Raw genomic sequence first — 22,124 nt, 5'->3', positions numbered from 1 at the left:
TGTATCGTGTTGACATTGTTTAGTCCATTATTTGTCACATAGGATATTCTAAATATGTTACATGTGCTATCTTGTATCATTCTCACCACAAATCTGTAAGAAAGAAACTCAGGCTCAAAGAGATTTAGTAAGTTGTCAACGGGCTTACAGCTAATACGCAGTGGAGCCTTTGACCTAAAGGATTCTAATTTCAGAACACATTCTATTAACCAATATACTATACTATTTTAGCTATGCTTAATAGCATTTCTTCAAAGGTGAGCAACAAATAAGATCTCAGAGCTAAAAATAGATTGTCCAATCAAAGGTCAGAGATAAACAGAAACAGTAGAAATTGAGAAGTGGTGAGAAATAGGCTGTAGGGAATAAGGAGTGGCAAGAAAATAAAGAGATTGAAAATTCCACAAGAAGTTTGAATTTCAGAATAATAGCAATGGGCACCAATTAGAAGGCTGTTGACGTAGTCTGATCAAAGATGGGGCAAATGAAGTAAAGGAAAGTAAATAGACTTGAGGTAAAATCAGCCGCACTTGGTGAAACAGAATAATGAATGTGAGAACGAGAGTGAGCAAAGAAGTCTCCCAGGTTTCTAGTTAAAGTAATTGTTGGAAGGTGATGACTTTCACCAAGATAGAAAACCTGAGAAGACGAGCCCATCTTTAACAAAGAAGATAGTTTCCATTGTTGACATGTTGAGCCTAAATGTGGCTTTTCCAAATATCAAGAAAGCAAGATGCCTATTTAAGATACAATCAGTATAAAGGTATAATCTATATTCAGGAGTCATCATTACTTGGACTGAAATTGATTCTACACAACTGGCTGTGATACTGGCTGGGAATGAGGAGGGCTTTGTACAGAATCCTGAGAAAAACAGCATCTAAGAAATATGCAGAGAAAGAGAACTAACAGCAGAGACAAAGCAGTGACTAGACAGAAAAACCAAGAGGTTATTGCGGCAAGGAAATGGTCTCAAGGAAGCAACAAAAAAGAGTGTTTCAAGACGAGAGTAATGACCACAAAACCTAATGCTGGGATAAACACAAGTAAGATAAAAATCTAAAAAGTGTTCATTGTGCAACAAGACAGGCATAGATTCAGTGGATCAGTGAAGTAGTGGAGGAGAGTGGCATGCTCCATCCAGATCTCTATAGGGCCCAAACATCCATCCCCAGCTGCTCTGAATATCTGTTAGTCCTCAGCTGTGTCCCTTAGTGAGAATTGTCTTCAGCCAACAGAGGACTTCCTTGCCCAGAGTTATGCCCTCCCCAGAGGATGGCCTGTGACCAAATACTTGCTGATGTGAGAATACAAAGAACCTCTTCTCTCAATTTGAGATAACTCTGAAAAGCCATCTTAGTTTCATAGCTCTTATAGCTTTAGCTGAGATTGCAATTGTACTTGCAGAATGAGTCAGTTTCTCCCTTTGCCCAATTCTACCTTCATCACTTTCTTACAAGTGAATCTCCCAAGGATAATTTCCAATAAACTTTCTGCTCACAATTTCTCATATCGGAGTCAATTTCAGGAAATTTAATCTAAACTAGCTGGTACAAGAAGTAGTCCTACAAAGTAGACTCTAAATTGGGTTTTGGAGGTGGATCTCTCACTGGCAAGCTGGCAATGAGGATAGTAGTTGTAGTATGGATAGCTCCTGCCATGCTATGATAGTACAATTGTTAAAACTTTCACTGATGGTGAGCTTGGATAGAATACCAGTAGAAAAGGATATGCTGACTAATGGAATATCTCTGACACTTGACAGGAATGAGTTCAAATACATCCTGAAATTGGGTGGCTATGGCTGATTATCATTGAATAAAGATAAAGATGGGCTTGAGGTGAGAAATCACCAATTAAAGACAAAATATGAGAGTCAGAGGGACTTCTTGGCAAGTTTTATGAAAATCCTAATCTCCTAAAGCCAGAGGGAGGAGAGGATCGGGCTCATGATTTATTGATAAGAGCAGAAGAACTTCAAAAAGGTTAAATTTTCAGCTCTGAAATTTTTTCTGCATACTGATAGAACCCTAATAGGAAAAGCAGAGACCCTGGAAGGGATAAATGGTATTGAATATCTTGAGCTCCCAGAGTTCCATAAAACCATTGTGCCTGAAGATGTGGCCCATTCCCTCTAATTAAAATATAGTGGCTGTCCCCCTTGCTTGAAGATCATGCAGAGGCCTCAAATGCATCAGCAGCTCAAAAAGCAATGTTTGCCCTCTTTAAACTGTATTCCTACTTCCCTGGCAGGCGATCACATTAAGGGTTAAATCCAAGCAATGAACAAAGGAGAAGCCAGGGCCTGATGGGGAAGGAACCTAGAAAACTGCAGTTCAATTCAGGATCACTTACAACTTCCCTAGGGGATCATAACCATTTGCTCAGGTAACTGTATTGTGGAAAGATTTTCCAGATTTTCTGAAGTGTTGTCGGGGTAAGAACAGATTTTGAAACTGGAGACACAAAGCACCAGGATTCTCTTGCTCTCCCAGTTAGTATGGGTGCCTATAGGAGGAAAGGTAATAAATAAAGTCTTGGCCAGGTCTGGCTCACAGTTGGTCCACTGGGTCCACAGACCCACCTGATGGTTATTTCTCTGCTCCCTGTATTTGTATTTGAAATGGACATACTTGATGATGGGCCCAACCCCTTATTTTGTTTGCTTGACCTGTGAGGTGAAAGTTATCTTGATGGACTGGTGTGACTTGCCTTCAGCCCCTACATCAGCCCTGATAATAACTTTATTTAATTAAAAAAATTGTCTCAGGAGGAATACCACCCCCAGAGATTTAAACAAGGCAGAGGTGATTATCCATGTAATATACCCATTTAATTTGCAAAAATCAGATAAATCATTGTGGTTGCTAGTGGGTTGCCATAAACTTAATCAAATGGTAGTCGCAATTGCAGCTGTCAGCAAGGTACTTGCTATGGCAGATTAACATGGCCTCTGGCACATACTATGTAGCCATTAACCCGGAAAATGCCTTCTTTCCCACTCATATGAGAAGTAGGATGAGGAGCAGTTTGAATTCATGCGTAATGGACAACACACAATGGTCTTGCCTCAGGACACTGTTAGCTCTCCTGCTTGTCTATCAGAGTCTGAAGGAACTTTAATTATCTGGACATGTCACAGAGGCATTATTTTAATCTCATGGGATGAGCGAGCAGTAAACAGTATGTCAGAAACTTAATAGACTCATGCATGCCATAGGGTGGTAGATACATACTACAATGTATTAGCAAACTGCCAAATCAGTAAAGTTTTTTAGGGACCCAGTAATCTTGGGTGTGTGAGGACAAATAAAGGGCAAGTGATTGCATCTTGCATCTCCCACAACTAAAAACAAAACAAAATCACCACACTGAGTAGGTATTTTGGAGCTCTTCTACTGGAAATACTGATTAACCTATTTACCACAGACAGTGACATGAAAAATTGCCATATTTGAGTGGAGACAAAAACAGGAAAGAGCTTTCCAGGAAAGAACAAGTTTAGGCTACAGTGCAAACAACCCTGTCACTGAGGCCATACAACCTGGGACTCTAGTGCTAGAATTATCTGCAGTGGGATCAAACACTGTATGGATTTTATGGCAAGCCTAATAGATGAGGGCATCTGATGCTGGACCATCAAGTAACCACATGGCTAGAGTTTTCCTCATGAGCATTATTCTGTCTAAATCGCCAAGTCATAAAGGGCTCAAAAAAGCCCAGCAGCAATCCATTGCCAGATGGAATTGGTACATCTGGAGTTGAGCATGACAGATCCAGAAAGCTGGAATGTACAAGTAAACTGCATGACGTGGGGCCGAGCTTCCCAGTCAACTGCCAGGGTTGTACAGCTTGTTTCCCTCTGCTCATGCCTGCTGCCTCACAGGAAACCCCTATGGCAACTACTGAGAAGGTAAAAGGACAAACAGGATTAATAGATGGGTAAATTATTATGGTGGGTTCAAGCTAGAAGTGGAGGCTTCTACACTATAATCTATCTCAAGCCTGGCCCTGCAAGTCATCAGTGATGTAAACCAAAAATATAAAATTCTAAACCCCAAAACCATGTGAATGGACCCCTCCTCTCAGCAAGCGCATTCCAAAATTAACCTGAAAAACTAGTTTGGGCCATGAAGGGAAGGAGGAGCCACACATGCCTCATTATACCCACTTCCCTTTTGGAATTACTGATAGAAGAGACTCTAAGTCCGATAAGAAACATTTACAATCTTTGTCTGTGAAACCTGCTGCCTGGCTTCACCTGCATGATAAAGCCTTGGTCTCCACAACCCCTTATCATAACCCAGACATTCCTTTCTATTGATAATAACTCTTTTAACCAATTCCCAATCAGGAAATCTTTGACTCCACCTATGACCTGGAAGCCTCCACTTCCAGTTGTCCTACCTTTTGGGACTAAACCAATGTACATCTTACATGTATTGATTGATGCGTTATGCCTCCCTAAGATGGATAAAACCAAGCGATGGCCCGGCCACCTTTGGCACATGTTCTTAGGACCTCCTGAGGGCTGTGTCACAGGCCAGTGGTCATTCATATTTGACTCAGAATAAATCTCTTCAACTATTTAGAGAGTTTGACTTTTTTCATCAACAGTGAGAGGAAAACTTCTGGATGGGCAGAGCTCCCAGTAATGGACTTGGTCAGCCATTTTGTATGGAACGAGAAACAGCCTGAGGTAAGTGGCACAAACCTGAGATTGAGTGGCTCCTTAAATGTTGCATTCTAGGGGACCCTCTTGCCTCACACTACTCCTGGTCCTGTCTGAGATTAAGGGATCTACTGTTCCTATGATATCCTGCCCAACTCAGAAGCAATCAGCTTGGTAGAGATAAATTGGCCTCTTTAAAAAAAAAAAGAGAGAGAGAGAGAGAGAGAAAGGGGTCTTTCTGTGTTACCCAGGCTGGAGTGCACTGACTGTTCACACATGTGATCCCACCACTGGTCAGCACAGGAGTTTTGACCTGCTCCATTTCCAACATGAGCTGGTTCACCACTCCTTAGGCAACCTGTTGGTCCCTGTTCCTGGGAGGTCTCCATGGTGACACTGAACTTAATGTGGACACCCAATTGGCATATCACAGTACAGCCCAGAACTCAGAAGCTCAAGCTATGCTCCTGGCCTCAGCCTCCCAAGCAGATGGGACTCCAGGTGTGGACTACCACACCTGGCAGATTGGCTTCTTAAAAGCCTAGCTGAGGTGCCAGCTTAGAAAGGATACCCTATGAGAATGGGCATCACCATCCAGGGTGTCACATACAGCCTAAATCAACAATCATCATATGGAGCTTTGTTCCCCAAAGGTAGAATTCAAGGGCTTGGGAACTGAAAGATTAAAGTTGTAGTGGCCCTGGAAACCATTACACCCAGTGATCCACTTGGAGGGAATTGGCGTTTTCCCCTATATGTTTTAGATTCTACATGTCTGGAAATTCTGGTTCCTATAACAGTACCATTGAATTTTAGACTACTACTGCTATTCAGTCTTCCAGAATCCTTGTGCCAAGAAACCAGCAGGGAAGGAAAGGAGGCACCACCCTGGAAGAGGTAATTGATACGGTCTTCAGGAGGAGGAAGGGCAGCTGCTACCCCATGAGGGCAGGATGGGATATGTTTGGGCCTCTTTGGTGCTGCCATGCCCAGTTTTAATCCTATATAGGAAAATACATCTGCCATGGCCTGAGAATAGCAACCAGGAGCTCATACTGCTCAAGAATGATGGTGTGCATCACCTAATGAGGCAAACTTCCTAGATCAATGGAAGTGTGAGCTGAGGGAGAGGAGAACCTCCAATGGATGGTACAGGAAGATGGTATCAGTTATAGTTTTGAAATCAGCTGCAGCAACAGGGGCTGTAGTTCATCCAACTGACACTTCTTTTCATAATTTCCCAGGAAACAAGACTAATCAGGATCCTGGAAAGCTTTGCCCTGGTAGGAAGATAGAATTTAGGAAGGAAGTAGCTGTGAACCTCTCAAAGTTTAGGTGTAGTGCATACTATGTTGCTTATACAGACCCTCTCTGTAGAGCCAATTACCTCATTCCTTCTCTGGGAATTGCCATCCGTCAGAGGCAGGTGCCCCCATTTGCAGAACTGCCATGCAAGAGGCAGCCCAGGTCAATGACTGTATGGTGAGGAGATTTGTCTTAATTGGAAGAATTCCAGTCCTTCCCCACAGGATCAACTGAGGCCTCAGGAGGAAACACATTGGAGATCTCCTTCCCCCTGTTTAATCCTGCCTGCCTCGTGTCCTTATTAGAGCATCTCCTAGGAGCATGTACAACAAACCCTTTGGCCCAAATTCTCTGTCTCAGAATCTGTCTCTAGGGACTGAGTCTAAGACATGGGGCCAAACAACAAGCTGCTATAAGCAGAAGTGACTGCAGGAGAAGCAGCCAAGAGAGTAACAATAGGAAGCTGTTTCAGTCAAAAAGAGGCAAGAAATACGGTGGAAGCTCCAAGAGCTAGAGGGGTTGAGAGAGGTTTTATTTCCTTATTGTTGGTTGTTTGTTTAAGACAGAAAAGGCTTAAGGATGCTTACATGTTGACAGAATGGAGGGGGAGGGACAGGAGATACAGAAAAATATATGAGAAAAATAAATTGTATGAGGTTACAGAGGGGACAGGAAGAGTGGGAATCACAGGCTCAAGTGGAAAGTTAAGGCTTAACCTTATTTAGACGGGATGACTTAAAAATCTGACTTAATGTTTTGCAAATGGTTAGTCACTCATTTCAACACTGTTCTTGACCAGTTTCTTCTTTCCCCACTTATATAAATTGCTACTTTTAGCACAAACTAAATTATATATGCCTGAGTTTATTTTTAGGCTCATCTATTTCATAACCTCTTTATTCCTCATCCAATAATAAATTGATAAAATTACCGTAGGTTTATATGACATTTTGCTCAATGGTAGGGTAAGACATTCCTTCTCATTATCCTCTTCTTTTAAAATTTTAAATTTATTTTCTATATATCACATACTTTTCTTTTTAAGTTTATTATCATGATGTTTTACTTTTACTTGCTATTCAAAATTATTCCGTTACATTTTCAAGGTTTTGATTGTTGAGATGGGGTGATTAAAGGTTTTATTATTAATTGATCTTTTATTGATCCCCTTATGGAATTCAATGAGTTTTTACATTTGTTCATTTTCCGCATTTTTTAAAAAATTAGTAATTTTTTACTTTTCAATAATTAATATTGAATTTAGTTCTCACTAACCTTATTATAAGAGTCAGAACCTACCATATTTTTTGAGATGGAGATTTGAGTGCAGGAAGATTTGGGGGAATTGCTCTTGAAATCAACACCTGTGAGAAGGAATAGAGGAAAACAGGACTGGGCAGCCGAAAAAATGTGTTGTTGTGCAATCTCAATAAAGTCCTTAGCAACCCACAGGGAGCTCTGAAGCTTAGACAATCAATCCTTGAGAGTTTTGGCGAGGGGATCCAGATGACCAGTCACTGCATACTGCCTTGTCCCTAGAAGGGGCTGTGACCTTGGGCCAGGTGTCACTTCAAATGAGGCATTGCCTGAAAATAGCTGAAGACAGACAGTTGTTGACCAGGCAGCACACCCAGCAACTTCCAGGCAGCTGAGGAAATGTGTGTCACTCCTGAAGAGGGATCCGGGTAGCATATCACAGCACTCACTGCACGTCATGCATTAAAAAAGAGGACACTTTTGCGATTATGCTGCTTCCGTCTCAATTTTACCACTTTAAGGGAGACACTGCATAATTTTTGTTTTGATATTTTATAGAGAAATTATTATTTTTGTTATGTAGATTTATTTCACGAATTGTAATTTCTAGGTTATTTTCTGTAATGACAGTCCATATTATTTTAGCATTATTTCCATGTTCTAATGATTACATTCACCACTGGTCTGCAGCACAGTGATTTCTAATTAGTGAATTATATATATGTATGTATGCATGGATGGATGTCTTATTTAGTAGTACATGCTTAATATGTTTCATGAGTCCTTGCGCATTGGAAAATGTCTTTCTGATGTCTTCAATTATTGTGACACTTCTGAGAAATAATTTTTTTCCTCATCATTCAGCAGATATCCCTCCATTGCTTTTTGTTACAAAATGCTACTGAGAAGATCCTAAAGCCAGGGGAGTGATGAAAATGTACAAATAACCAACATTCCACAATCCAATATTTTAATATTGAATACTTAAGTGGTCAATCATTTATATATATAAAACAAAAGGCTCATTATAAAATATTTGAGTGGAACTAAACTGTATAAAGTAAAAAGTTTAAGCCCCCTTCCTCCCTTTCCTGCCTCACTCCCAGACATACCCACTTCACAGTTTAAGGTCTGTCTCTCCATAGTCATTTTTTAATCTTACAAGATGTGAGAAAACCATACATATTATGCTGCAATTTGTGTTGTTCACACAATGTAGCTATCCTAGGCACCCTTCCCTTCTAATACGTATTATTTTTTGTTTTTGTTTCAGCATTAAAAGGTTTTAAATTTTAATGTGGTCACATATATGTTTATTATTTTATGATTTCTTCTACCTAAGCATTTCTAAATGCTTAAATGAAAGCTAAAATGTGTTTAGATATTGCAGCAATGTAGGGTATTTATTCAATTTACTGAAAGCAAAGAATATTGCTTTTTTATCTCCCTAAACTGTAACTAAGATAGGGATTCAAGAGAAAATTGAAAAGAACCTAGTGCTTGAAAATCTTGTTCTGTGCTAATGTGATCATCTTGGTACCTTGGGCTACCCAAATCAATGACAGCTTCAATGTCCCTGTTTAGTTTCATTCGTAAAACTGAATCTTTTATCTCAGGACTATTCTCTGTTTTGACATCTGATTTTAAAAATGGTGTCTGTACAAATGAAGGCCTGGCAGAAGTCAGTCAAGCTAACCAGAATCTTAATAATTTACTTCTTTCCACTCACTGGACGCTAATTGTGAACACTATGCTTCTTGCCTTAGCTGCTGTTTTCCTCTATAGTTATACCTTTAACATTCATTTCTTTCTATGTCCTGAAATATTTTTTCCTGTTTTCATTTTGGTCATTGCATATGAATGCATTCATTTACCTGGTGAATGTGAGACCTCTGTATATTCAGATCAGATTTCAGTTTTCTTTTCTCTCTTGTACTCTCACTTGAAGTATGCCTTATTCTGTGCATACTTTTTCCCTAACACAGATTTTTGGCCCTTCTTGCAATCTGTTTTTGCTTCCAGTTCCTGTTCTGTCTACTGATCACTTATACATATAATAGTTTTCAGATGTCCAGGTCTTTTCTACATTTGGGTGCATTGTCAAAAGTGTAATGCCTTTCTTCATTGGTAAGATTTCTTTTTGGCCTTGATTGAGTCTATATTACTAGTCATATTGGGCAGTCGGGTCTCATCCTGATCACCTAACTCTAAAATTCGTTTCTCTCTTTTAAGTGTCTTATATTTTTTTCCATTTTCCAGACCCTCAGATCCTACTGGCCCTTTCACATTTGGAGTACGGTCAGGAATTAACTGACTTCCTTAGCTTGGGACCAACTACTACGAAAACCTACCTGCACGTTTGTGCTACGTTATGTATTGGTGACTGAACATCATTTTCCCTCTTGTAGCCTCCAGTCTAGCTCCAGCTGCACCCAAACATTGTAACAGCTATAAGCCTGGGAACTACAGGTACCAGAATCTCTACCAGGAGTTTCCAGTTTGGGTTCCACTAATCAGAAACACCTGCTTGAGATTTGGAAGAAAGAAAAGAAGTAGAGGGCATAATATTGTTCTTAGGCAACAGGAGGCAAATTGTGGGTTTTGGCAGAGGTATTGCAGCAACTTCTAGGCACTTTCTGTTAATTATCTGCTTTGGCACAGCATCATCTAGCCCAGTTGTTCTCAGTGTCATCCCTGAAACATCAGCAGCATTGCCTGGTAACTTGGGAGAGATGCAAATTCTTGACCCCAGACCTACACATTCAGAAGCTCTGGAGTTGGAGTCTAACACTCTAGGTTTCACAGAGACCCTTAGTTAATCCTATATGCCAAAGTTGAGAACCACTGAAACATATTCCAATATAACAGATCATGGCTGGGCTTTCAAATTGGGTGAGTTAACAAAATCACCAGGAGTGATTCTGAAAACTGGAGATTTGTGTGTCCTACCATATATCTTCCCATAAATAAGACTCTCCAAGAAAAGGGCCTGTGAATGTGTATTTTTACAAGTGATTCTGATTCTTAGTCAAGTGCAGGAAGTGAGTCAAATGTACCGCTCTAGGGTCTTCCAGGCTTCTTGTTTAAACAACATTCCCTTTTCCTTAGAGTTGACAAAGGAAAAGAAAAAGCAACATATTTGAATAAGAAAAAAACTGTGAGTTGTTTGGAAAAGTGTGCTTACTCAACATAAAATCCCTTTTTAGAACTTTAAGATTCTATAGTTCTGTATTTCATTAGTACTAACCAAAGATGACTTGCATCGCAATCACTATGAGTGTCCACTGAAATTGCAGATACCTGGGTTCCATTCAGACTTATTGCATGGGATCTCTGGGCATTAACAAACACAGCAGCACACAAAAGCTTGAAAGCCAAGAATAAACTCTTTCCAAGTTTACGCTATACTATATGAGAATGTGTTATCAGATGTGCTATCTGTACTTCAAGTGTAAATACAACAAAAGTAGACCTACAAGCATTACTGGTATTAGCTCTGTGCTTCATGGGTAAAATAAATCTACTTCATGTGGAAGTAGATTATCTCTAATTTCTCTTCCTGTTCTAAAGTGCTATGATTAAATTACTTATTTATCAACCTATAGCCACTTCCAAAAACCGTAAATAATATTATACAGCCTTTCTTGGGACTCCATGTTCACCATGCATTTGTTGCATTGGCTAGAGACAAATATTTCAAGTTTATCTCCATTGTTGGCATAAATACTTAAAACATCAAAGTGTAATATCCAATAACATCCTATTTTGTCTCAACGTCTAATTCTAGTCATAGATTTTCTTTATTTTTTATTGTAAAAATGCAATCTTTACATTCTATTAATGGCTAATTTGGAATATATGTTTAACTATTGAGGCTTTCTATTATTGTTTTGAGTTAAAATATATCTTCTTAAGCTATGAATAAGTAATGATAGATAATATATGTACTCAGAATGAAATTAAATCTATGTTGAAAAGTATCTAGTGCAATGTCTTGTACTGGTACTGGTAGTAAACGTTTCTTTACTTGGCTGGCAATTAAATACTCCACAAATTCTGACACAAATGATAATTTAAATAATCAACAGTAAAGTTTTCGAGGAGCTTACAGAGGTTACAGGGTTTTTGTCTGCAATTTTAACATATTTTAAAATAATTTCCTATTACCCTGACATTTTGAAACTGCTCTAGATAAATTATGAGTTCTTAAGTGCATGTTTTCACAATAGCAAGATTGTGGAAACAATATTGTTTCTTTCATAATGGAATTTTGGAGGTTACAGGGACCATCTTATTAAAGAAGGGACTATCAAGAAAAATTGGGGTAAAGATGAAATTCGGCAAGCATCCAAAATTGATGAAAACTTCTCATGTTGTTTGGTGACAATCTGGAATGATAAGTAATAAACAGTATTGGTTTGTTGGCTTTTCCTGTCAGTTTTTATGATGCTCCCAAAAACTAATATAATAGTTACCTTATTTTTAGAATATTCCAGTTTGGTAAAGTAATATGAGTTAATGACAAGAAAAGGGCATAGCTATGGCTAATGGTCATGGTCCAATAAAGCCAAGTCTGTTGGCCTTGGGGCTCTCAGTACAGGATCCATCTGCTTAGCCAGATTTTTTTCTAATTGAGAAGAAGTCAGTTGGCTCTTTAACTTCAAAACTGCAACATTTCATTTTATTTTGAGAGTTTTGCTTTTATAGCCATACTTCCTGTGATATTTCATATTGGTATATTTTTAGAAGTAAAATCTATAGTGATCATTACGTTTTGGGGCATTGAGTAGATTTCATTTTGTTACTGCTAAAAATGATATTGGTAGAAAAAAATGTATGGTATGTAAAAAACATGCCAAACTTATTCTGAAAAAATGTATTTTTGGGAAATTATTCAGTATGAAAATTTCTTCCTATCCATAATGCTTCATTCACCAATAGGCACAAGAAATGTTACATGCTAAGCAGAAAGGGTAATGCTAAGACCTTTGACATTGTGGCTCTTATATTCCTTAAGAATTAATTTTATGAAAAAATTTAAATTTCTAATAATTCATATTAAAATTTAATATAGTCGTGTGCCACATAATGACATTTTGGTCAATGAGGGACCACATCCACAGCAGTGGTCCCATAAAATTATAATGGAGTTGAAAAATTCTGTCTAGTGACGTCTTCATGATCCTGACCCTGTGTGTAGGCCTAGGATAATGTGTATGTTTATGTCTTAGTTTTTAACAAAAAAGTTTAAAAAGCAAAAAAAAAAAAAAAAAATTTAAATTTAAAAATAAGAAAAACCTTTCAAAAATATAAAGAAAGAAGACATAGTTTCTACAGCTGTACAATGTTTGTGTTTTAAGATGTTATTACAAAAGAGTCAAAAAGTTTAAAATTAAAATGTTTATAAAGTTAAAAGTTACTTTATAAGCCAAGGTTAAATTATTGTAGAAATAAAAATATTTTTATAAATTTAGTGTAGTCTAAGTATAAAGTTTATAAAATATATAGTAATGTACAATAATATCCTAGGCCTTCACATTTACTCACCACTCACTCATTAACTTTTTTTTTAGATGGAATTTCACTCATCGCCCAGGCTGGAGTTCAATGGTGCAATCTCTGCTCACTGCAATCTCCGCTGCCTGGGTTCAAGCGATTCTGCTGCCTCAGCCTCCCAAGTAGGTGGGATTACAGGTGCCAGCCACCAGTGCCCGGCTAATTTTTGTTTTTTTTTAGTATAAGAGACAGGGCTTCACCATGTTGGCCTGGCTGGTCTTAAACTCCTGACCTCAGGTCATCCTCTTGCCTTGGCCTCCCAAAGTGCTGGAATTACAGGTGTGAGCCACTGTGCCAGGCCTCACTCGTTAACGTACCCAGAGCAATTTCCAGGCCTGTAGGCTCTATTTATGATAAGTGTCTTATATAGATTGTAATGGTTTGGCTCTGTGACCCACCCAAATTTCATGTTGAATTGTAATTCCCAATGTTAGGGGAGGAATCTGGTGAAAGGTGATTGGACCATAGGGTGATAGATTTCCCCCTTGCTGTTCTCCTGATAGCGAGTGAATTCTTTCGAGATCTAGTTATTTGAAAGTATGTAGCCCTTCCCCCTTCATGCTCTTTCTCCTGCTCCAGCATGGTAAGACATACTTTCTTCCCCTTTGCCTTCTTCCATGATTCTAAGTATCCTGGGCCTCTCAGCCATCCTTCCTGTACAGCCTGCAGAACTGTGAGTCAATTAAACCTCTTTTTTTCATAAATTACCCAGTCTCAGGTAGTTCTTTATAGCAGTGTGAGAACAGATCAATACACAATACCATTTTTTATCTTTTATAACATATTTATACTATACCTTTTCTATGTTTAGACACAAAAATAGTTGCCATTGTGTTAACATTGCAGTATTCACTACTGTATTCACTATAGTATTCACTACAGTAACATGCTGTACAGGTTTGTAGTCTAGAAACAATAGGCTGTACCATATAACCTAAGTGTGTAGTAGGCTATCTAGGTTTATGGAAGTACAGTCTATAATCTTTGTACAACAAAATCGCTTAACAGTATATCTCTCAGAACTTTTCCCAATTTAGCAACACATGTCTGTATATAATTTCTAAATTATAATTGATGTGATTAATCCATGTGCAGTTTTTTTAGCGTAGATTTTACTTTTAATTAAAACTTTGAAATGATTTGTGTGCGTTTGAGAAACATGTCAGATTTGACTATGAAATCAAAATTTTCTTGGTAATATTTTGCTGTTAAAAAACAGTCTTTTATAAACTAACCAAGGTTCCTAAAAAATCAGAACAACAATAATGTCACATAAAAATAACTCATTAGCACAGACTACAATGTAGTTGATTCTGACTGTGAGTTGTGAGCCAGCCAGCCAACCCCAGGTACTGGGTGTTGGTATAAGCTGTAGACTCACTTCAGAGAGAAACATAAGGCAGACATGCCACTCTAGTAACTATGGTGGGCAAGCTTTTGCTAAATCATGAACAGTGGTGAATCATCAGATTATTTTATATTTTCTCCCACGGCATATGCATCATGTTTAAAATGTGGGTTTCCTTCCTTATTTGAATCAGAATAAATTTTTTAAAAGAAATTTCAGCATAGAAAATATTTTGAGGAAATTCTTCTAAGCCCTGTATTTACTTCTCATGTCTATAATAAAATAAAAGCATATCATAGTTTCTCAATTTTGTTTCCATTTTGGTGTGCAGTGCACAGGTGGGAAACTAAAACAATTCCAAACATCTAAATAAATAAAAGAATAAAATAAGAAAATATTGTTCCACTAGCAAAAAAGAAATTATGAAGTTCTTATTTCCAAAGTGACTAGTGGTTCTTAGACTTGTGGTTCTGAAATCTTGGTTTCTGGAACAATAGCAGCACCACCTGAGCATTTGTTATAAATGTATATTCTCAGGTCCCACCCAGGCCTACTGAATCATAAACTCTCAGAGTAGGGCCCATCGATCTGAGTTTCACAAGCCTCCCATGTAATTCTAATGCCTGCTAAAATTTGAGGAAAACTACCTTTGACTATGGAATGTAAATTAACAAAGCTAAAATAGATAGGTCTGAATTTATCTGTAGACTCATTGGTTCTCATTGGATCTCACTCTCGCCTTCTAATCCTACCTGGGGATGTTTATAAGACCCCAAACCAGATAATCAGAATTGAATTGAATCAGAATCTCGGCCCTAGTATCAGAATTTTCCAAAGCTCTCTGGCTGTTGAGCAGGCAGGATAGAGAGACACTGGTATAAGCTACACATATTTGTTCCATAGATCAACTTCTTACCATGTCTTAAGCATATACTAATCTGTGGTGATAACTGTTGCCCCCCTTTTCGTTGACCCTGCTTTCTTGCTGTTCCTATTTCAATAGCTGAAGCTACAAGAGCCAGAAAGAAGATGAACATTAAGAAGATATTTTCGTATATCTATTGTTACTTTTTCATTCCCACACCTAGCTACTAGAGTGGCATTCATCTGAGTTGCTCCATTTTAGAAACTTGTATATTCGATTTAAAAATCAGCCCACTATTCTTTGGATTATTAAACACACCGCTAGTACTGATCTGCTTGCTCTGTTTTATCCCTTTTCAACCCATTCTTCACATTGTAGTCAATGTTATCTTTCTAAATGCAAATTTGATTGTGTTCAAACTTTTTAAAATGACTTGCAAAGCACTGCATAAGCTCTGTGTAATAGCCCTGCTTCATCTATCTTTTATCAACTATTCCCCTCCCTGAATCCCTTCAATGATGTAGCCGTACTAAATGTTAGGTTTCTTGAACCCAGCATGTTTTTTTCTCTCTTCTTATCAGCAGAACACATGTTGTTCTCTTTACTTGGAACGCCGCCTCTGACAGATGGTCACCTCACCATCACTCATTCATCCTTCAAGTCTTTGATACAATTTCTTCCAAGAAAACTTACCTGATTATTTGAGCTTGAGATAGCACTCTCTGGAAAGCCCTAGAATTTTTATAGCTTGCGGTAATTGCTTACTGAAATCTCCAGTGGGCTGGAAAATTAGGGAAGGTATTTTCATGTATCTATTGTTAATTTTTCATTACCACAGCTAGCAGAGAGGTTATATGTTTTGAAAAAACTTTTATTGAGTAAATGAGAGGATGAATTTAAAACAACCTAAACACAGGTAATGCAACCAAATAACAAATTAAAAATCATCAAGAAGTGAACCAAAGAATAAAATCAATAAGGTAATATAGGATCAGAAGTGAAATTGCACATTAAATGTGCTATGATAGACATAGGGCCCAGAAAAACTGATCTCCCAGGTAAATGTCCTTTTTCTTACACCATCCTAACACTTTAATCCCTTCCTTTCCATCTTACATAAAGTAACTGTTTACTGGCAAACATTTGAGATGCAATTGATGCATTAAAAAAAGTCTACATCTCTCAATTTATTAGCACTTCTCATACTGTGTTCCTCAAGCGCTAAATGTACAAGAGGTTAATACATGTTTCATATAAATTCATTTCTCTGGTGGAACAAGTTTGTGAGGTGCTGTGTTAAATTAAGTAGCTTTCTCTAATGCAGTCATATTCAGAATCTTTATTATGGTGATGTGCTTTGTAAATCTCCCAAAGGGAGAAATAGTAAACATTTCTTTGGAAATATTTTGAAAGACATCTTGCAGAATTAATAGTCAGTGAAACAATTTGAAAAGCATTAGTTTAAATGCATCAGTACATATCTCACTCCAAGAAAGTTGAGGAAAATCACGGGGAGTGTTGCTGGGAGCTTTCCTCTATCTCTCAGGAAATTGATTGCTCAGAATTATTTTCTGAACTATGTGAACTTTGTGAGCTTAAAAAATGTATATATAAAATGAGTGACCGATGTGTGTATCTTCAAGACTATTTAAAAGTATGTATTAAACACATACAACATGCAGTATTGTATGTATAAGGTATGGCTCTTTCGATAACTACACATTCTTGTTGAACATACAATGACTGTGCTGGATGGGTGTTCTGAATTGTAAGGACTATAAATGCCTAACAGTTCAGGGAGACTGTAGAGCAATGTCAGCTGAAATAAACACTGGAAAAGTTAAAGATACAGGAGGGATCTAAATGGGCCCTGGGAAAATAATATGGGACCTCATTGGAGTTTTAAAACATGGGGCTCAGCTTGTGTTGAGCACTGGAGTGAGGCACCATCTATTTCCAAAGCTAGAACCTGGGTGCTAGTGGGTGGATTTATGAGCAACTCTACCCAACGTATTCATTTATATTTAGGAGCCTCCAGGGGGAAAAGGCACCGACACCTTGATCACTGAGATTTAAATGCATAAAAGCCTAATTGACACAAGTGGAACCTATTAAATGAAGCTTATGTTTCCTCAAGCTTCTCTTCCTCAAAAAGAAATTTACCTCAGAAAGGGAAGCTGGGCTAGTGAACCATACTTAGTGCCAAGGTCTAAGTTATTTGAAGAAAGCGACTTTTCAGGCACATTACACACTTAATTCCAGAACTTTCTAAGCAGTCCTTCTAGCATTGAGGGAAAACTTAGAGAGTGACAGTTTGACAAGTTGTACTGTAAGAAAGAAAGAGCTTAAACCATTAAAAAGCTCTTATATGTAGGGCCATGGAAGTGTGTAGAACTCCTAACTGGGCTTAATCAAGAAGACTCCAGGGGATATTGTGTGTATATGTGTCTGCATGCACACATATGCATGCATGCATGCTTCATTCATCATATTTCCTCGGGAAATGTTCCTCTTCCATCTGGTGTGATTCTGAGGAGGCCTGTCAATTACATAGTTCCACCAGCTCTAGCCACAGGGCTCTGCCCCAGACCTGGCCTAGCTTATCACAGTAACTTACCTTCCTGATTAGCAAGGGGGATAATCCAAGGGCTAGACATATGATCCCAGAAATACCTGTCTCAGTCCCCCATGAGATTAGCTAGACACTGGGAAAGAGAGAGACTCTCTTTCTTTTGGTTAATAAGTTATAGAGAATAATGACTTGAGGCTGACAGGAACCATTTTTCTTACCGTGTGGAAAAAAAGCTTGCATAAGAATGAAACCATCGCACAGAGGAAAGCAGAGCCCAGAGTCATAGAAAAGCTGAGTATGAATGACAGCTTTGTTAGAAACTCTAGATCACAATGTGCTCAAAGTCTACCCCATGCTCAGACTTGCCAGTTACAGGAGTTAATACGTACTTATTAAACTGTCTTGAATTTATGTTTGGTTTCTTTTACAAAGTGGGTGTTGACTAATGGATAGTCACCCTGTTTTCACAAAAAGGAGCCAGGAAATGGATGGAGCCATTGACAGAAGTTTTCTTCAGGATCCTGGAGAGCATGTGGGACAGCAGTAGTACCAGAAATTCAGAAAGAGATGATTGGTGTTCAGGTGAGTCATAGGCTTGCAGAATTATTAGGACTTATAGCAAAGTTATCAGTGATAGTGTATGTCCAGTTGCACCACTGAGAAGAACGGCAATAAATCATTGGCAATGCCACATGGATCATGGTCAACTGTTGGACAAAAGGGGTTTGGAAATGAAGTTTGACCTCTAGGAGCTTTGAGGTACTGCTTCCTTGGAATCATGAAGTGTAAGACCAATGGGAAACATTTCATAATTCACCACAAGAAGATACTGGGAATATCTAGAAAAGCGAGGTCCTTAGATCTATTAGAATTTCTATAAGCAAGGTTGGTGAAGGCTTGCAGCTATTGTGATTTAAGGAAGAGTTGTTGAGTATAACCTCAGACTACTTACATCAGAGAAGGAAGTGAGAAGGTCATGCCAGAAAAAGGAAAATATTGACAATAAACCTTGGCATATTCACAAGGCTTTGAGACCAAACTGATGAGACAAGATGAAATTTTGGAGGGAGTTGTGAGAAATAAAGCTGGCTAGTTATGAGAGGGTTGCGTTAGGGTACAGTTTATGAGAGAAGTTTAAATTGGATTTAGTATGAATGAAATAGGAAGCAAAAGGAGGGTTTCTACATCACCTGTTGTGGACTTGGCAACACCTGTTTAACTTGTTTGCAGCATAAATACAATCACACTTCTTATTTTTCAGATAGTCACTTAAGCTTTCAAGTTTTCTTCCTTATACCTCGTGAGATTCTCTATTTCCCTTTTTGAGATAGCCCGCTATACTCACGCCCCACACTGAAATGTCCAAAAACCAAGGGGCTAACTCAATACATATATAAAGAGAGATTAGTTCTGTTTCCAAATACCAAACAGGAAAAGGGAACTGTAAAGTTAGATGAGTCCCCATACACCATTGATTTGATCATGTGCATCTCACACAGTCAGAGGTTTCTCCCCCTCTTGCAGACACGCCCTTGCTCATCCAGATACCTGCACAGGATGGAGTGGTGGCCATCTTTCAGTTTCAAATAAAGATCTTAAGCAAATCTTTCTGTTCTCAAACATTGTTTCCTAAGACAGGACACCATACAGACTGGCTGGGGCTGAACTCATGCTGACTCACAGAGACAGAGTGCAGACATGTTTTTAGAGAGTATGCTCAAAATTTCACAAGCTGTCTCCCTAGCAGCTGATCATGGTGCAAATTTTGCTGCCCTGCTGCATATTGGATACGACTTTAACAATACCAAGTGCTCTTGAGTATAACAATAAACAGCAAGTTTTATAAAATGTGCACAGGAGTATAAATTGCTATGTCCACCTTGAAAAGTAATTTCACATCTAGCCAAGTTCAAGATACAAGTATGTTTGTATCAAATATTTCCATTCCCCAAGTAGCAGCTCCAGATGAGTGGATTCACAGCAGTATTGACCAAAGAAGGGGAAATGATCAAAATGTCTAACAATAGAGAATTACCAAATAAATTATGACATGCTCATACAATCAATTAAAATTTACCAGTGAAAGTATATGAAAAGCAAGACATGCCAACATGGATAAATCTCACAAACAATGTTGAATAACAACAAAAGCAAGTTGTAGAAGGACACCTACAGTTGGAGGTCATATATCTAAAGTTAAAAAATGAAAAACAGGGCTGGGCACAGTGGCCCACACCTGTAATCCCAGCACTTTGGGAGGCCATGGCCGGTGGATCACCTGGGGTCAGGAGTTCAAGACCAGCCTGGCCAACATAGTGAAACCTTGCCTCTACAAAAATACAAAAATTAGCCAGGCATGGTGGCGCATGCCAGTAGTCCCAGAGGCACTCAGCTACTCAGGAGGCTGAGGCAAGAGAATCACTTGAACTCAGGAGGCAGAGGTTGCCGTGAGCTGAGATCACACCACTGCACTCCAGCCTGGGTGACAGAGCAAGACTCCATCTCAAAAAAGCAAAAAAAAAAAAAAGAAAAATATATAAAGAGTATGTACATATGTGATAAATTTTAAAAAACCACAAAGGAACAATGAACACAAACTTCAGGATCCTGCTTAGCTCTGTAGGGAATAGAGAGAGCTGTGATCAGGGACTGATCAGGGACAGGCACATGGTAGCCTCCAGATATTGTAACTTCATATATCATAGAGAACACAAGTGTTTGCTTTATTCTTCTTTAAGACATACATGCATATATTACATATATTCCATATGCACACATGCATGCGTATCTTATACATTATGTGTTGTGCATACCCATTCACAAACACATATACAATTTCATAAACAATTTTTATAAAGACTCACTTAGGTGGGGTTAGTTACATAAGTGAAAGTCCGTAAATCTCCATGGCTATCCCTTAACTCCCTGGCTCACAAAACTCTAGGCGGGTGAAGACTCATTTGGATAAGAATCCAAGAGGCTTTCTGAGAGGAAGGACCAAAATACCAACTCTTTCTTAGCTGTTCTCTGCAAACAACCACAGACATTTATTACCATATCCTTAAACACTGGATAGCTTCCTCCTGAAAAAGCCTTCCTGTGGATGAAAACCACCCACCTCTTCCAGCAGTTTTACTAAGTCTCTCCTCTCCCTGAAACCCTGGCTCCAGAGTACAGCCTCTTGTTCACCCATCTGTATTTATTGAACATTTCCACTCTTCTTTTTTTCTCTCTTCTTTTCTTCACCTACTTTTCTATTTTTTCCCTCCATTCTCTACTTGCCAAGTTCTTAAAGCTCAAAATAATAGAGATGGTGTGGGAAGAGGAGAAAAATGCAGGAAGTACTTAAAAACTATTCTAAGTATACTCATTGTGTCCTTGTTGGTATTTGGGGGGCAGGGGGAGTTGATGTCTCCTTATCAAATAAACATAGCCAATGAAACATTTTTCTTTTTTTGCAGCAAGACTTAGAGAACTTTAAGAGGAGGGTATAGTATGTTGTTTATTTACAAATTTGTTTGATGAAACAATTTCCCTTTTCTCCAAATACCTATCTTGGATAATACTATATTCAGTGGAAAAATGTGGGAAATGTTGAGTTTGAATTACCACCAAGAATGTTCTTCAAAGTATAAGGAGAAGAAATTATACTTCTTTCTACATTAAGTCTTAGTGACAAAATATTTTTATTGAATTCTCCCACTTTCTACAATGAATTCTAGGTTCACATGGATATAACAAATTCTCTATAGTAAATATTATAGCTATAAGTGAGTACTTGCTCAACATAACCATCTTTTATGTTTGATGGTTTGCTTCCTGCTTGAAAATTGAACGACTGCCTATTCTGTAACAGTATCTTAGTGTTTGGGACAAAATAGTGAACATTATAGACATAATTACTGCCCTCATGGAGCTTATGGGTAAGGAAAAAATTGTCAGAAATTGATCACTACACTATTGAATATAATTATTATAATAGTAACATAAAAAACATAATTTTGACAAATTAAATGGAGTTTTTAGTCCCAACTTTTTTCCCTCAAGTTATAACATCTCTATTCAAGTAAAAGGCTAGATTGATTACCTGGGTATTTATTATTTGATTTACCCATTATAAAAAAAGATTGCATGGGGAAGAAAAAGGCATCATATAATGAAAATTTCATTCGGAACTTTTGATTTAGTCTCTGCTCAAGCAGTGCTCTTCTATTAATAGGAGTACACAGCCATACCAATGACAGCAACATCTTTGCCCATCCAAGTTTTATTATTCTATTTGCATTGTGTGGTTTGATGTTCAGTGCAAATATGATTCAAATAAACTGTTAGTGAAATTAGAAATATTGTGAATATATTGTTAATGTAATTGATGAAAGTAATACTGGAGAAATTCTTTAATCAAAGCCCATAAAAAATGAAGACACAGAATGAGAATTGTTTAAAAATAAAGAATATAAGAATGATAACAAAATTATTCAGAAGTGAATTATTAAGGGAGGTCTTTGAAAAACCTGGAAAGTCCTCAAATGTATTTTCAGAAATAACA

At 38.1% G+C, this 22,124-nt stretch overlaps 1 long non-coding RNA gene and 1 pseudogene across 1 annotated transcript; one reads left to right on the top strand and one right to left on the bottom strand.

Moving 5' to 3' along the window:
* Positions 1-2,061: 2,061 nt before the first annotated feature.
* Positions 2,062-5,589, top strand: LOC107986743 (uncharacterized). Its single transcript, XR_001745025.2, has 3 exons — positions 2,062-2,388; positions 4,618-4,699; positions 5,489-5,589. It is a non-coding gene; the product is annotated as an uncharacterized LOC107986743 (long non-coding RNA).
* RN7SL869P (RNA, 7SL, cytoplasmic 869, pseudogene) lies at positions 4,895-5,194 on the bottom strand (annotated as a pseudogene).
* Positions 5,590-22,124: the final 16,535 nt, after the last annotated feature.

The sequence above is a fragment of the Homo sapiens genome, chromosome 7 (genome assembly GCF_000001405.40).
Source record: "Homo sapiens chromosome 7, GRCh38.p14 Primary Assembly".
Taxonomy (NCBI): Eukaryota; Metazoa; Chordata; class Mammalia; order Primates; family Hominidae; genus Homo; species Homo sapiens.
The sequence above is the reverse complement of the archived record's forward strand: the minus strand, read 5'-3'. Positions and strand labels throughout refer to the sequence as shown.